Genomic DNA, 15,510 nt, shown 5'->3' on the forward strand with positions numbered 1-15,510 from the left:
TGGTGGATACCCAAACCTACACAGGTAATAAAATTGTATAGAAATTAATACACACAAAAATGCAAGTAAAACAGGAAATCTGAATAAGATCAGATAGTATCTTGATTATGATATTATACTATAGTTTTGCATAATGTTACCATTGGGATAAACTGGGCAAAGTGTATAAGGGACCTTTTTGTATTATTTCTTTACAACTGCATATGAGCCTATAATTTTCTCAATAAAAATTTGTATTTGAGGCTGGGTGCAGTGGCTCATGCCTATAATCCCAGCACTTCAGGAGGCTGAGACGGGAAGATCGCTTGAGCCTGGGAGTTCAAGACCAGCCTGGGCAACATAGCGAGACCCCATCTTTCCAAAAAAGAAAAAAAAAATTAGCCAGGTGTGGTCACATGCACCTGTAGTCCCAGCTACTCCAGAGACTGAGGCAGGAGGATCACTTGAGCCCAGGAGTTTCAGGTTGCAGTGAGCTGTGATTGTGCTACTGTGCTCCAGCCTGGGAGACAGACCAAGACCCTGTCTCAAATAATATAATTAATATATTTCTATTTGAAAAAAAAAAAAAAGACCAGAGCAGTATCCTAAATTGGGTCCTAGCCAAACTGTCTTCACTGGCCTAAGGAGACTGGTGGGAAAGAAAACTAGACAGGAAGCTGTGTGCCCACACAGCTCCCCGCTTCCCCGCTCCCTGCCCTAACCCCACTCCAGGTGCTGCTCTCCCTGCGCATTTTGCTACTGATGAAGCCCAGTGTGCTATCCCGAGTCAGCCACCAGGTTGCGTATGGGCTCCATGAACTCCTGAAGACCAATGCAGCCAACATCCACTCAGGTGATGACTGGGCCACACTCTTCACACTGCTGGAGTGCATCGGCTCAGGTGTGAAGCCTCCAGCTGCTCTGCAGGCCACAGCCAGGGCAGATGCACCTGATGCCGGTAAGCCCTTTCCCAGGGAGACTCAGGCTGGCAGATAAACAGTTACACCCCAGGAGTTGGGACAGGAAAACAAAACACAGGTTACTGTGTTCAGCAGATTAAACAGCCCTGGCTCCTGCCATCACTTCCAGAGCTTCCAGTGCCCGCTGGCTAGTACCCATAAGTTAAATAGCATGAGGGCAAATAAGCAATGCAGACGGCTGTGAAGCCAGGCTTCCTACTGTCCTGAGGACTGATTTGTCCTGAGGACTGTTTCCCAGTTTCTGTTTCTGAGCTGTCCCGAGGACTGTTTTCCCAGAATTCTGGGAAAATAGAATTCTGTGAGCAGACTTTATATCACTAAATCGATACATCACTAAATCCCAGAAACTGGGAAAACAGTCCTCAGGACAGTGGAAAGCCTGGCTTCATAGCCTTCTGCATTGCTTATTTGTCCTTGCCACCACTCCCTAGAGTGGTGCTACAGCTGCCACTAGATGCCATCAGGAACCCAGATTAGCCTGCCACCTTATTTGGTCAACAGAGAAACTGTTCCGGCCATCCTTTGGCCCTCTGGTGACAGAAATTAAACTATGCCAGAGAGAGGGGAGGCCAGGCCTCAGCATCTTTTTTCTGAGAGCCTGATTTATCCCTCATCCCAGTGCCCCATCCCCACCCTGACTCTGCCCTTCTCCCTGCCTACCATAGGGGCCCAGTCAGATAGTGAGCTCCCATCCTACCATCAGAATGACGTGAGCCTGGATCGAGGGTACACTTCCGACTCAGAGGTCTACACTGACCATGGCAGGCCGGGCAAGATACACCGATCAGCCACAGATGCCGATGTGGTCAACAGTGGTTGGTTAGTGGTGAGTGACAATATGGGCAGCAATTGAGTCTCTCCTGCTTGACCTGTGGGAAGAATTCCTGGTCCTCTGCAAGGACATTCACACAGGGGCCAAGCCTGTGTCCCCAGCTCCTCTGTGTACTTTACAGGTTGGGAAGGATGACGTTGATAACTCCAAGCCAGGGCCCAGCCGCCCAGGCCCTTCACCCCTGATCAATCAATACAGCCTAACAGTGGGACTGGATTTGGGGCCACACGACACTAAGTCTCTGCTTAAGTGTGTGGAATCGCTGTCCTTCATTGTGCGTGATGCTGCCCACATCACACCTGACAACTTTGAGCTCTGCGTCAAGACTCTCCGGATCTTTGTGGAGGCCAGTCTGAATGGCGGTGGGTCAGCTGATGAGGGGGCAGCTGGGGAGTAGCCATGCAATTATGCAGGGGAGAGGCTGAGAGGGGAGAAAAGGCAGGGTATCTATGCCTATATAGACACAGAAATGTGACCTGAGTCTGGCTCTGCTCAGGATGCAAGTCCCAGGAGAAACGTGGCAAGAGTCACAAATATGACAGCAAAGGGAACCGCTTCAAGAAGAAATCCAAAGAGGGATCAATGCTTCGCCGGCCTCGAACCTCCAGCCAACATGCCTCTCGGGGCGGGCAGAGTGATGATGATGAGGACGAAGGCGTGCCTGCCAGCTACCATACGGTGTCTTTACAGGTCAGTCAGGACGTAAGTATGGCACCCTTTACTTCCTCTCCTCCCCTGCACCTGATACTGGGAGCCTGGGGCGGCCAGGGAAAGCCAGGGCTGAGGGGAAGGGCCCATGTGTGCCAGCCCAGGCCCTGGACCACCATCTTCACAATATTCCCTTACCCAAAACCTTACCTGTAAGTCTTTATTTGCTTAAATTTATTTATTTATTTATTTTTATTTTTATTTATTTATTTATTTATTTATTTTTTGAGATGTAGTCTCTCTGTCACCCAGGCTGGAGTGCAGTGGCGTGATCTCGGCTCACTGCAACCTCCACCTCCCGGGTTCAAGCGATTCTCCTGCCTCAGCCTTCCAAGTAGCTAGGACTACAGGCGCGTGCCACCATGCCTGGCTAATTTTTTGTATTTTTAGTAGAAACGGGGTTTCACCATGTTGGCCAGGATGGCCTTGATCTCCTGACCTCGTGATCCGCCTGCCTCGGCCTCTCAAAGTGCTAGGATTACAGGCATGAGCCACCACACCTGGCCTTTAAATTTATTTTTAAACTAAGATTTACTTATTTTTTGAGTAGGTTCAAAATATACAAAAGGGTAAACTGATAAAACTAAGTTTCCAATCCATTCCTGTCCCCAGCTTCTGAGTTCCCCTCACTAGAGGCAGCCACTGTCACCAGTTTCTTGTCTATCCTTCCAGAGTTACCCTGTGTCTATTCAAAGGCATATAAAATTAATTATGTGAGCAGAGTTTATATCACTAAATTGATGGAGAACCAATTGCCTTAAATAGAATAACCATACAAAAATGACAAAAGTGGCTGGGCTTGGTGGCTCCTGCCTGTAATCCCAGCACTTTGGGAGGCCGAGGCGGGTGGATCATGAGGTCAGGAGATGGAGACCACCCTGGCTAACACGGTGAAACCCCGTCTCTACTAAAAATAGAAAAAATAGCTGTGCATGGTGGCAGGCGCCTGTAGTCCCAGCTACTCGGGAGGCTGAGACAGGAGAATGGCGTGAACCCGGGAGGCAGAGCTTGCAGTGAGCCGAGATTATGCCACTGCACTCCAGCCTGGGCGACAGAGCAAGACTCCATCTCAAAAAAAAAAAAAAGAAAGAAAAGAAAAATAACGAAAGTAAAAATGTATTAAATCTGGCCAGACACTATTGCCCAATCAAAGCCTCTGAGCCTGAGGTTTTCTGTTTTAAAAATGAGATTAACAGCCAGGTACAGTGGCTCACACCTGTAATTCCAGCACTTTGGGAGGCTGAGGCGGGAGGATCACTTGAGGCCAGGAGTTCGAGACCAGCCTGGGAAAAATAGCGAGACCCTGCCTCTACAAAAATAAAAATGCAAAAATTATCTGGGCATGGTGGCACACATTGTAGTCCCAGCTACTGGGGAGGCTGAGTAGCTGAGTAGGTGGGAGGATTTCTTGAGCCTAGGAGATCCAGGAGGCAGTGAGCCATGATGGTGCCATGCACTCCAGTTTTGCACAGAGCAAGACCCTGTCTCAAAAAATAAAATAAGAAATAAAATTAGGCCGGGCATGGTATAATCACACCTGTAATCCTAAAACTTTGGGAGGACTATTGCTTGGGCCCAGGAGCTCAAGATCAGCCTGGGCAACATGGCAAAACCCCATCTCTACAAAAATACAAAAAATTAGCTGGCTGTGGCAGCGCACAGCTGTAGTTCCATCTACTCATAAGGCTGAGGTGGGAGGATCACCTGAGCCCAGGAGTTCGAGGCTGCAGCGAGCCGTGATTGTGCCACTGCACTCCAGCCTGGGTGACAGAGTGAGACCCTGCCTCAAAAAATAAAATTAAATTAACAACATGAGGCTTTCTCTGTCATCAGCAGGTGTGAAATAGAATTGAAAAGAAAGTATCTTTCTCACTGTGAGTAAGGATTGTGAAATACTCAGTCCACACACCTCCTAAGGCTCTCTCTCTCATGAGTAATCTCTGACTTGGAGAGTCCTTTACAAGGACTGGAACAACCAGGAAGTCAAGTCAAGGGAAAGAGTAGCGAGGGGGTGAGGTATGGCATGATTGGTGCTAGGGACACCTTGAGGACTTAGTTAGGGACAGTGAGTGGGGAGGGGGAAAGGGATCCACGAGACCTAACCCCACTCACATCCTGCCCCCTCCTGTGATCCTAGTTGCTAGACCTGATGCACACCCTGCACACGCGGGCAGCCTCTATCTACAGCTCATGGGCGGAGGAGCAACGCCACCTGGAGACAGGTGGCCAGAAGATTGAAGCTGATTCTCGCACCCTCTGGGCCCACTGCTGGTGCCCTTTACTGCAGGGTAAACCAGGAGGGGCAGAGGTAGGGAGTTTGGGGAGCATCAGGATCAAGATGCCTGAAGGATCCTGACCCTGCTCTTGCTCTCAGGTATTGCCTGCCTGTGCTGCGATGCCCGGCGCCAGGTACGGATGCAGGCACTGACCTATCTGCAGCGAGCACTACTTGTACATGATCTGCAAAAGCTAGATGCCCTGGAATGGGAGTCCTGTTTTAACAAGGTGGGACTTCCTACTGGTCTTAAGATAAAGTTCAAATCCTAAGAAAAGGAAAGCCAGGCAGCCTGAAGAGCCCCTAATGTGAGTCTTCAGCCTGCATCATACCTTCCCTTCAGCTCTATGCCCATCCAGTTCCTGGCTTCCTTGGGGCAAGGCTGCCTAGCTGAACCTCATAGGGAGACATTGCACATTTACCCCCACCAGGTGCTGTTTCCTCTACTTACCAAGCTCTTGGAGAACATCAGCCCTGCAGATGTGGGTGGGATGGAGGAGACCCGGATGAGGGCTTCCACATTGCTCTCTAAGGTACTGCTCACCACCCTATACCCACCCTCTCTCCCATACCTGCCTTTTCCCGAGGAGGGAAGCCAGGGCTTCTGGCAGGACCTAGAGATGCACTGTAGGTGCTCACAACCCCCCAGCTATGGACACTAAGCAGGACCTAGGGACCTGAGAGGATTCTGAATCTTAAATCAGAGATTCCTCCATCTCTGATCTAAGATTCTCATGCAAGATAGGACAGGCTTAGCTACCCAGCCTCAGAGAGGGGTCCAGAGGCTCCTACAGTCCCCTCAGCTGAAGGGGGCTGGTGGGCCATAGGTCTTCCTGCAGCACCTGTCTCCACTGCTGTCACTCTCTACCTTTGCGGCCCTCTGGCTCACCATCTTGGACTTCATGGACAAGTACATGCACGCAGGCTCCAGCGACTTACTGGTATGTTCTACCTCAGCTCTGCTGCCTGCCTCCTGTCCCACCTGTTGGAAGGACTTGCCCTTTCCCCCTTGGTAGCTACCTCCCTTTACCATACTCCCCCCATGCCCTCTTTCCTATTCTCATGGTCCCACTGCCACCTGCAGTCAGAGGCGATCCCTGAGTCTCTGAAGAACATGCTTCTGGTGATGGACACAGCGGAGATTTTCCACAGTGCAGATGCACGGGGAGGCGGCCCCTCGGCCCTCTGGGAGATCACCTGGGAACGCATTGACTGTTTTCTCCCTCACCTACGAGATGAACTCTTCAAGCAGACCGTCATCCAGGGTAGGGGGCTCAGCCCAGCTTTATCAAAAAGAGTCTCCTGCCTGGGCACAATGGCTCACACCTCTAATCCCAGCACTTTGAGAGGCCGAGGTGGGTGGATCACCCGAGGGCAGGAATTTGAGACCAGCCTGACCAACATAGTGAAACCCCATGTCTACGAAAAATACAAAAATTAGCCAGGTGTGGCGGTGGGTGCCTGTAGTCCCAGCTACTCAGGAGGCTGAAACAGGAGAATCACTTGAACCCGGGAAGTGGAGGTTGCAGTGAGCCGAGATCACAGCCTGAGTGACAGAACGAGATTCCATCTCAAAAAAAAAAAGTCCCCAAAGCTGAATTTATTGTCTGTGCCCTGGGTGGGTAGAAAGGCTGTTGGGTAGCTAGGGCTCTGCTGGAGAGAGAAAGCACTAAGAGGTGCCATCTCAATTCTCTACCGTCTCCAGACCCCATGCCCATGGAGCCTCAAGGCCAAAAGCCTCTCGCCTCAGCCCACCTGACTTCCGCTGCTGGCGACACTAGGACACCTGGCCATCCACCGCCCCCAGAGATTCCATCTGAGCTGGGGGCCTGTGGTGAGTCTCTCTAGCCTAGCCTGATAGGCACTGAGTAGCAAGCAGGGGGCCTAAGAGGAGGCCCAAGGGGGCGTGGGAATGCTGCTGAGCAGGGTCTGTGAGCCGAGGGAAGAAGGCCACTAGAGAGAACTGTTGCCGCTCTTCCCATGGGAAATGACAGGACCATAAGCTATGAGGAACTAGCTGCTTGCAGTCTTCAGGCTTGGGAAGAGAAGGCTGGGTCAGGGACTTGGAATGAATTTGCAGAGGTTTCCTTTCAGGGATTCTAGTAGAGAGTAACCTGGCGGCCAGGCGCAGTGGCTCATACCTGTAATCCCAGCACTTTGGGAGGCTGAGGCAGGTAGATCACCTGAGGTCAGGAGTTTGAAACCAGCCTGGCCAACATGGTGAAACCCCGCCTGTACCAAAAAAATATAAAAATTAGCTGGGCGTGGTAGTGCACACCTATAATCCCAGCTACTGGGGAGGCTGAGGTGGAAGGATCGCTTGAACCCGGGAGGCAGAGGTTGCAGTGAGCTGAGATCATGCCACTGCACTCCAACCTGGGTGATAGTGAGACCCTGTCGCGAAAAAAAAAAAAAAAAAAAAAAAAAAGAGTAGCCTGGCAAAGGAGATAGAAGGTAGCTGAACATTGAAATGAGTTTTGAGGGGAGACTCCCAACTTTTTAGGCTGGTGGGGGGCCGTGTTGCTTACTGGAACAAGGAGGAACAGAGACTCTATAAGCAGCCAGCTGGGCAATGTGAGAGTTGTCTTGTACCAACAAGGGAATCTGACTGTAACCACCTTGCTTTCCCTACAGACTTTGAGAAGCCCGAGAGCCCCCGAGCCGCCAGCAGCAGCTCCCCAGGATCACCAGTGGCCTCAAGCCCCAGCAGGCTGAGCCCCACCCCCGACGGGCCTCCACCCTTGGCTCAGCCCCCACTGATCCTGCAGCCCTTGGCCTCCCCACTGCAGGTGGGCGTGCCACCTATGACTCTGCCCATCATCCTCAACCCTGCGCTCATCGAGGCCACCTCACCAGTGCCCCTCCTGGCCACACCCCGCCCCACAGATCCCATACCCACCTCTGAGGTCAACTAAGGCAGGTCACTCAGAGATCAGGACCAGTGCTTCCCACCAGGCTTTCCTTGACCCCACTTCTGGCTGTCCTGCGGGCCACAAGCTCTTCAGGCCAAGTCAGAGCTGCTGTTGCTGCCACTTGGATGGGGACCTGAAAAAGAGAATGTTGATAGCCCCAGCTAAGACCCCCAATCAGCTGTGGGACCTTTTTCCTCCTCTGCGCTCCATTCCTGGGGGTTCAGCCTGAGAGTGAACTCAGCTGTCATCTGCAGCCTCTGCCTCCAGCCCGGCAGCTCTGGGGAGGCATCCGTGTGCCGGCCCTGCAGTGCCTGCCCACGGTCAGGCATTGAAAACTAAGCCCAACCACTCTGCACTTTGTTTCCCACTCCCATTAGCCCTGGGCCACCTCCTCCAGTTCTTCCTCTTTTACTAATTAGTTGGTCAGTTTGGAGAGTTGACTGGCACCATGGAGGGTAGGCAGGTGGGGGCTGGGTGGGGGACTGCCCACAGGAGCATGTACATATGGAAAAACAGAACAACAGTGGACTTTTTATGATATAATAAATGTCTTAGTACCAGCATCATTGTCTCTCCCTCCGGTTTCCTTCTTGAGCTTGTGGGTCAGGGCACCATGTTATCGGGTGCGCAGGGCTTGGACTTGGTGTGAGCAGAGGCTGAGCCTACCTAACACCACCACCCCCCTCCCCCACCCCGCCAGATGCTAGGCCGGGGGTCAGGATTCCTTCACTGCTGCTGACCCCTGCCCTGCCACAGGGTGTACCCTTGTCATCACAGGTGTGCCCAGGGGCTTGGGCAGTGGCTCGGGCAGTTGTCGTAATCTTCCCTAACAACTGTAACAAGGGAGACACGTGAGACAACCTGGCCTAGGTGAGAGGGAAGAGGAGTGAGGGCTGAGTTGTAGTTATTCAGAAGTCTTCTCTCAGATGTGTCTCACCATCCAAGAGACCAAAACAGCTGTTGGGGTTTCAGAGGAGCCCAAGAGTTCGAGGCTGCAGTGAGCTATGATTGTGCCACTGCACTGGAGCCCCCCTCTGTCACCCAGCCTGGAGTGCAGTGGCACAATCATAGCTCACTGCAGCCTCAAACTCTTGGGTTCAAGCAGTCCTCTCACATCAGCCTCCCAAGTATCTGAGACTAAGGTGTGCACCACCACACTTGGCTAATTTTTTGTGTAATTTTTATAAAGACAGGGTCTCACTATGTTGCCCAGACTGGTCTGGAACTCCTGGGCTAAAATGATCTTCCTGCCTAGGCCTCCCAAAGTGCTGAGATTACAGGCATGAGCCACTGCACCCAGCCCTGGGAAGGGTATCTTGCCCACAGCTGCAGTCATGGGTTTGGAGCCCAGGGCATTCATTTTGACCCCAAACTGAAAAGGGGTAACTTTTCCCAGCCCCACAAACCTCAAACCTCACTCACTGCAGCATGATTAGAGGACCCCTCTTCTCCTTTCCCTTGGCATCAGGGTAAGACAGGTGGGAAGTGTGTATGGGGCAGGCTGTGTGGCCCCTGCAGGGTGGAGGTGCTATGGGTGTGTGATACTGTGAAATAGATATTTGGTCTTCACCCCGTTTCCTGGCATAACTCTTAAAATCCTTAGAATCTCCAAAGTGATGTCCTTTAATATATGATTGACTGATAGCTGGCAGCCCCTATGTAGCTGCTGGATGGGGGCTGGTCACCAAAGCAGAATTAAAGGGTTGGGACTTTCAGGCTCAGCCCCCAACCTCCAGGGAGGGAAGAGGGACTGAAGGTTAAGTTGATCACCACTGTCCAATGGTTTAATCAACCGTGCCTATGTAAGGAAGCTTCTCTAAGAACCCAAAAGGGCAGGGTTTGGTGAGCTTCCAGAGAGCTGAACATGTAGGCTTACAGGAAGCCAAACGAGTGCATCCTTGTGCCCAGAGGGTGGCGCACCACAACTCCACGGGGACATCACTCCCGGGCTCTGGACCCTTTCAGACCTCACCCTATGTATGTCTTCATGGCTGGTTATTTGTATCCTTTATAATATTCCCTGTAGTAAACTGGTAAGTGTGTTTCCTTGAGTTCTGTGAGCTACTCTAGCAAACTAGTTGAACCCAAACCCAAGAAGGGGGTCATGCGAAGCCCAATTTATAGCTGGTCAGTAAGAAATACAGGAAAAACCACCTGAAACTTAACAATTGGCATCAGAAGTGGAGGCAATGACCGGGCACCATGGCACACACCTGTAATCCCAGCACTTTCAGAGGCGAGGCAGAAGGATCCCTTGAGGCCAAGAGTTCAAGACCAACCTGGGCAACATAGCGAGACCCTGTCTCTATTTAAAAAAAAAAAAAAAGCATTTTTGTAAAGAAGTAGAGTACAGTCCTGGGGAATGAGCCCTCAACCTATGGGACCTGGCACTATTTCCAATTAGATAGTGTCAGAATTGAATTGGAGGCCACCCAGCTGGTGTCTACTATAGAGCTGATTGCTTGCCTGGTGTGTGGGGGTTTTCCCACACACACACATTTGGTCACAGAAGTCTTCTGTGTTGATTGTTTTTGAGTGAGAAAATAGAAACACTTTGAAGGTGTTTTCCCCTCTCATGGTGGGATACAAAATGCTGGGTATTAAGCTTTCCCAAGTGAAGCATCCACATCATCTTGGTTTCCACCTCCGCAATGGTGCCTTCCCTTCCCTGGGGCACAGAGAACAGTGTGGCCCTGTTGTACTTCCAGCTGGCCTCCATCACAGAGAGTTAGGGGCACTCACCCCCTGCACTGGGGCCCAGCTGGCAGTATGATTCTCCAGCACCAGGCTTCCCTTTGCTCAGCACATGCACATGGCTGGGCATTTGGACCTCTGCAACGCCTCCCTCAGTGTAGAAAAAGGCACCTCAGAGTGGGAACAACCTGAAGTGGAAAAATACTGATATGAAACCGGAAGCTCTTAGGCTAATTTCTCCCTCTTCCCTTCCTTCTTCCTGAAGTCCAGGCCATGCCTGGTTTGCATACTAACCAGAAGTCTTGCCCAACCCTGCCCCTGGGAAAATTAGGAGGGGCAGAAAGCTCTATGTGTGTGCAGAAAAGCCTGGATCTACAGCCAGCTAGATACTGGGGCATTTGGCTTCAACTGTGGTGTCTCTGTTCTCCCATCTGAGCCCCACAAGCTCTGCCTTTAGAAGCTTCCATGTGTTTCCCTATGGGAGAAATAGTGTTAACTGCTGCAAATAAGTCTGAAGGCCATCCTATGAACAAAGAAATAGGACAGCTCTAATGTTCCTTATAAAACCAATCTCAAAAATTAGGAAAGAAGTGGGAACAGGAGTGGGGTGGGGTGCGGTGGCTCACGCCTGTAATCCCAGCACTTTGGGAGACTGAGGCAGGAGGATCGCTTGCCCAGGAGTTCAAGACCATGTATCTGTGGCCTAGCTACTTGGGAAGCTGAGGCAGGAGGAGTGCTTGAGCCTGGGAGGTTGAGGCTGCAGTGAGCTATGATGGTGCCGCTGTACTCCAGCCTGGCAACAGAGCAAGACTCTGTCTCAAAAAAAAAAAAAAAAAGCTGGAGCAATTGCAAACTGGCCGTCTCCCTGCTGGGAAGCAAAGAAAAACATTTGCTGGAAGTTGCATTCTGTTATTAAAAAGTAGCTGAGGCCCGGTGCTGTGGCTCACATCTGTAATCCCAGTACTTTGGGAGGCTGAGGTGGGAGGATCACTTGAGGCCAGGAGTTTGAGATCAGCCTGGGCAACATAGTGAGACCCCCATCTCTATTTTTAAAAATATTTCAAAAATATATTTAAAAAACAAAAGACCAGCTGATATGCGTGATTTGTATTATGGACAATCTTGTCTCAGAAAGCAAAGGAAGCTGCAAGAGGAACTAATAAGTAAGCCTTAATCCTGACCAACAAAGAAGAATGGCTTGGTGATGTGGAAGTAACCAAACCTTGGGGAAAAGTAATAACATAGTCTGGAGGGAAATGCTGGTCTTAATGACATCTCCCACCAGAAATCCAGGATAGCAGATAAAGTCAGGAGGAAAGGTAGAGATGGTTCCATGACCTAAGACCCTAACATAGAGCACTGGCATCGCTAGAGCGCCTATATGTGTCAGTACTGAGTGCCTTGCTCAAACATTTTATTTTTATTTAATGTGGGGAGGGGGATTTTTTGTTTTTTGTTTTTTGTTTTTTTCTGAGACAGAGTCTCACTGTGTCACTCAGGCTAGAGTGCAGTGGTGCAATCTTGGCTCACTGCAACCTCCGCCTCCTGGGTTCAAGCAATTCTTGTGCTTCAGCCTCCCAAGAAGCTGGGATTACAGGTGTGCACCACCACAACTGACTAATGTTTTTGTTTATTTGTTTGTTTGTTTTTAGACAGAGTCTTGCTCTGTCACCCAGGCTGGAGTGCAGTGGCGCGATATCGGCTCACTGCAACCTCCACCACCCGGGTTCAAGCAATTCTCCTGCCTCAGTCTCCTGAGTAGCTGGGATTACAGGTGCGTGCTACCACGTCCAAGTAATTTTTGTATTTTTAGTAAAGATAGGGTTTCACCATGTTGGTCAGGCTGGTCTCGAACTCCTGACCTCATGATCTGCCCGCCTCGGCCTCCCAAAGTGCTAGGATTACAGGCCTGAGCCACCGCAACTGGCACTGGCTAATGTTTTGTACTTTTAGTAGAAATGGGGTGTCACCATGTTGGCCAGGCTGGTCTGAAACTCCTGGCCTCAGGTAACCCACCCACCTTGGCCTCCCGAAGTGCTGGGATTACAGGTGTGAGCCACTGCACCCGGCTGTTTTTGTTTTGTTTTTTGAGATAGGGTCTCCCCCTGTTGCCCAGGCTGGAGTGTAGTGGCACAATCACAGCTCACTGCAGCCTTGACCCCCAGGCTCAAGTGATCCTCCCACCTCAACCTTCAAACAACATTTTAGAGGCATTTTCTCCTCTTACAGATGAGGCTATAGGTTCAGAGGCCAAGTCATGGAATTTAGGGAGCTGGGAATCAAACCCAAGTCAGTGTCACTCTAAACCTTGTGTTCTTTGGTATGACACTTTTTCCATTCAGAAGTAGTGATGGTGAGGCCAGGTGCAGTGGCTCACACACGTAATCCCAACACTTTGGGAGGCTGAGGTGGGCGGATCACCTGAGGTCAGGAGTTTGACACCAGCCTGGCTAATATGGCAAAACCCTATCTCCACTAATAATACAAAAATAAGCCGGGTGTGGTGGCTCACACCTGTGATCCCAACACTTTGGGAGGCCGAGGCAGGGGGATCACGAGGTCAGGAGATCGAGACCATCCGGGCTAACATGGTGAAACCTATCTCTACTAAAAATACAAAAAAAAAAAAAATTAGCCGGGCACGGTGGCACACGCCTGTAGTCCCAGCTACTCAGGAGGCTGAGGCAGGAGAATCGCTTGAACCCAGGAGGTGGAGGTTGCAGTGAGCTGAGATTGTGCCACTGCACTCTAGCCTGGACAACAGAGCGAGACTCCCTCTCAAAAAAAAAAAAAATTTAGCCAGGAGTGGTGGTGGGCACCTGTAATCTCAGCTACTCGGGAGGCTGAGGCAGGAGAATCGCTTAAACCTGGGAGGCACAGGTTGCAGTAAGCCGAGATGGCACCACCGCACTCCAGTCTGAGCAAGAGCGCGAGACTCTGTCTCAGACAAATAAATAAATAAATAAATAAATAAATAAATAAATAAATAAATAAATAAAAGTAGTGGTGGTGGTGGTATAGAAACCCTCCAAAGCTAAACACATTTTCTGTAGCTTCTCATGTGAAATAAAAGGCTAAGTACCTGAGGAAACAGGTTATTACCTAGTGAGCTCAGAGTTTAGTAGGAGTTTATAAAAACTGGAAACAGATGCCCACAACCAAGAAAAATATGTGAATTTTCTACACACATAATGATATGAGAAAGAACAAAATATAGAATGAGCTACAATGGGCATTCCTCCCTGCCCCGCCACCAAATAGAAAAAAATACTAGGAACAACAAAAGCTGTGGTTATTGGAGCCATGGGTATTTACCTTTGTTGAGGGCTCACTGGTTGGAAGACAAGTGGCTGTGAATGAGCAGAGTCACTCAGCCCCAGGGCTCCCATTGAGAGGGGCCTGTAATCCCAGCTACTCAGGAGGGTGAGGCAGGAGAATCGCTTGAACCCGGGAGGCAGAGGTTGCTGTGAGCTAAGATTGTGCCACTGCACTCCAGCCTGGGCAACAGAGTGAGACTGTCTCAAAAAAAAAAAAAAAAAAAGGCTGGGCACGGCGGCTCACGCCTGTAATCCCAGCACTGTGGGAGGCCAAGGCGGGCAGATCACGAGGTCAGGAGTTCAAGACCAGCCTGACCAACATGGTGAAACCCTGTCTCTACTAAAAATACAAAAATTAGCCGGGCGTGGTGGCGGGTGCCTGTAATCCCAGCTACTCGGGAGGCTGAGGCAGGAGAATCACTTGAAACCGGAAAGCGGAGATTGCAGTGAGCCGAGATGGCGCCGCCGCACTCCAGCCTGGGCAACACAGTGAGACTCTGTCTCAAAAAAAAATAATAATAATAATTAAAGAGAAATAAAAATAAGTAAAAGGAAAAATTCTTGATACCCCCTACAAATCTGCTCCTCTCTCAGTGTGCCCCACATCACTAAAGGACAATTCCATTCTTTTTATGCCAAAACCCCCTCTTTTCTCACATCCTGCATCTAATCTTCAGCAAGTCTTGTTACTTCTATCTTTAAATCTATCTAGAATTGCGATTACTTCCCACCACCTTCATCATCCACTAGCACCCAAGCCTCAGCCGCTGTCTGTTGGACTCCTGGTCTCCCTCCTTCCTCCTAGGTCCTTGCATTCGATAGTCTTTACACAGCAGCCAAACGGATCCTTTTCTGTTTGTTTGAGACGGTCTCGCTCTGTTGCCCAGGCCGGAGTACAGTGGCACAATCTAGGCTCACTGCAATCTTCACCTCCTGGGCTCATGCAGTTCTCTGACCTCAGACTCCTGAGTAGCTGGGAATATAGGTGCATGCCACCACACCCAGCTAATCTTTGCATCTTTTGTAGAGAAGGGGTTTAACCATGTTACCCAGGCTGGTCTCGAACTCATGGGCTCAAGCAATCCTCCTGCCTCGGCCTTTCAAAGTGCTGGGATTACAGGCATGCAGCCCAAATGGATCCTTTTAAGACACATTATACCCCAGCCTGGACAACACAGCAAGACCTTGTCTCTAAAAAAAAAAAAAAAAAACTAAAAAATAAAAATTTAGGCTGGGCATGGTGGCTCACACCCATAATCCCAACACCTTGAGAGGTCAATGTGGGCAGGTCACTTGAGCGCAGGAGTTGGATACCAGCCTGAGCAACATGGTGAAACCCATCTCTACAAAAAAATGCAAAAATTAGCTGCACATGGTGGCATGTGCCTGTAGTCCTAGCTACTCAGGAGGCTAAGGTGGGAGGATTGCTTGAGCCCAAGAGTTTGAGGCCGCAGTGAGCTATGATCACGCCACTGCACACCACCCTGAGTAACAGAATGAGAGCCTCTCTCAAAAAAAAAAAAAAAAAAAAGGATACATTATACAATTTTCACTCCACTGCTCAGAACTCTCTAACGGCTTTCCATCTTGATCAGAACAAAACCCAAAGTTATTACTTTATTCCACCTACTAACTTTCTTGCTGTTCCTCAAATATGCCAAACACTTGTATCAGAGCTTGGCCCTACTGTTCCCTCCACCTGGAACACTCTTCCTCCAGATATTCCCCATGACTCACTCCCTCACTTTTTCAAGTCACTGTTTAATTGTTACCTTATCAGAGAGTCCTGCTTTGACTGATACCTAGAAAATCC

General features: G+C 50.1%; 1 protein-coding gene across 38 annotated transcripts in view, besides 1 other annotated feature; it reads left to right on the top strand.

The window, feature by feature from the left end:
- Positions 1-8,249, top strand: part of GBF1 (golgi brefeldin A resistant guanine nucleotide exchange factor 1) — a 152,254-nt gene extending 144,005 nt beyond the window's left edge. For 17 of the 38 annotated variants that reach the window (NR_165089.1, NR_165088.1, NR_165087.1 and 14 more), the window contains 11 exons: positions 712-937; positions 1,625-1,785; positions 1,913-2,153; positions 2,288-2,493; positions 4,637-4,787; positions 4,874-5,004; positions 5,206-5,307; positions 5,602-5,715; positions 5,859-6,039; positions 6,480-6,608; positions 7,409-8,249. Coding sequence is in view for 33 of the 38 variants with exons in the window: in NM_001377141.1 (NP_001364070.1) it covers positions 712-937; positions 1,625-1,785; positions 1,913-2,153; positions 2,288-2,493; positions 4,637-4,787; positions 4,874-5,004; positions 5,206-5,307; positions 5,602-5,715; positions 5,859-6,039; positions 6,480-6,608; positions 7,409-7,689 (1,923 nt within the window). In the remaining 5 variants the exon portion in view is untranslated. Of the gene's footprint in view, positions 1-711; positions 938-1,624; positions 1,786-1,912; positions 2,154-2,287; positions 2,494-4,636; positions 4,788-4,873; positions 5,083-5,205; positions 5,308-5,601; positions 5,716-5,858; positions 6,040-6,479; positions 6,609-7,408 lie in introns of those variants that run through there. The other 21 variants (NR_165085.1, NM_001391924.1, NM_001391923.1 and 18 more) reach the window with 5 other exon arrangements.
- Positions 12,674-13,234: an enhancer, noted in NCBI's record as "H3K27ac hESC enhancer chr10:104147078-104147638 (GRCh37/hg19 assembly coordinates)". NCBI's record gives its function as "activates a minimal SCP1, AML or CMV promoter by ChIP-STARR-seq in naive H9 embryonic stem cells {active_cell/tissue: H9 hESC(naive)}" and the evidence as "EXISTENCE:reporter gene assay evidence [ECO:0000049][PMID:30033119]".

The sequence above is a fragment of the Homo sapiens genome, chromosome 10, assembly GCF_000001405.40.
Source record: "Homo sapiens chromosome 10, GRCh38.p14 Primary Assembly".
NCBI lineage: Eukaryota > Metazoa > Chordata > Mammalia > Primates > Hominidae > Homo > Homo sapiens.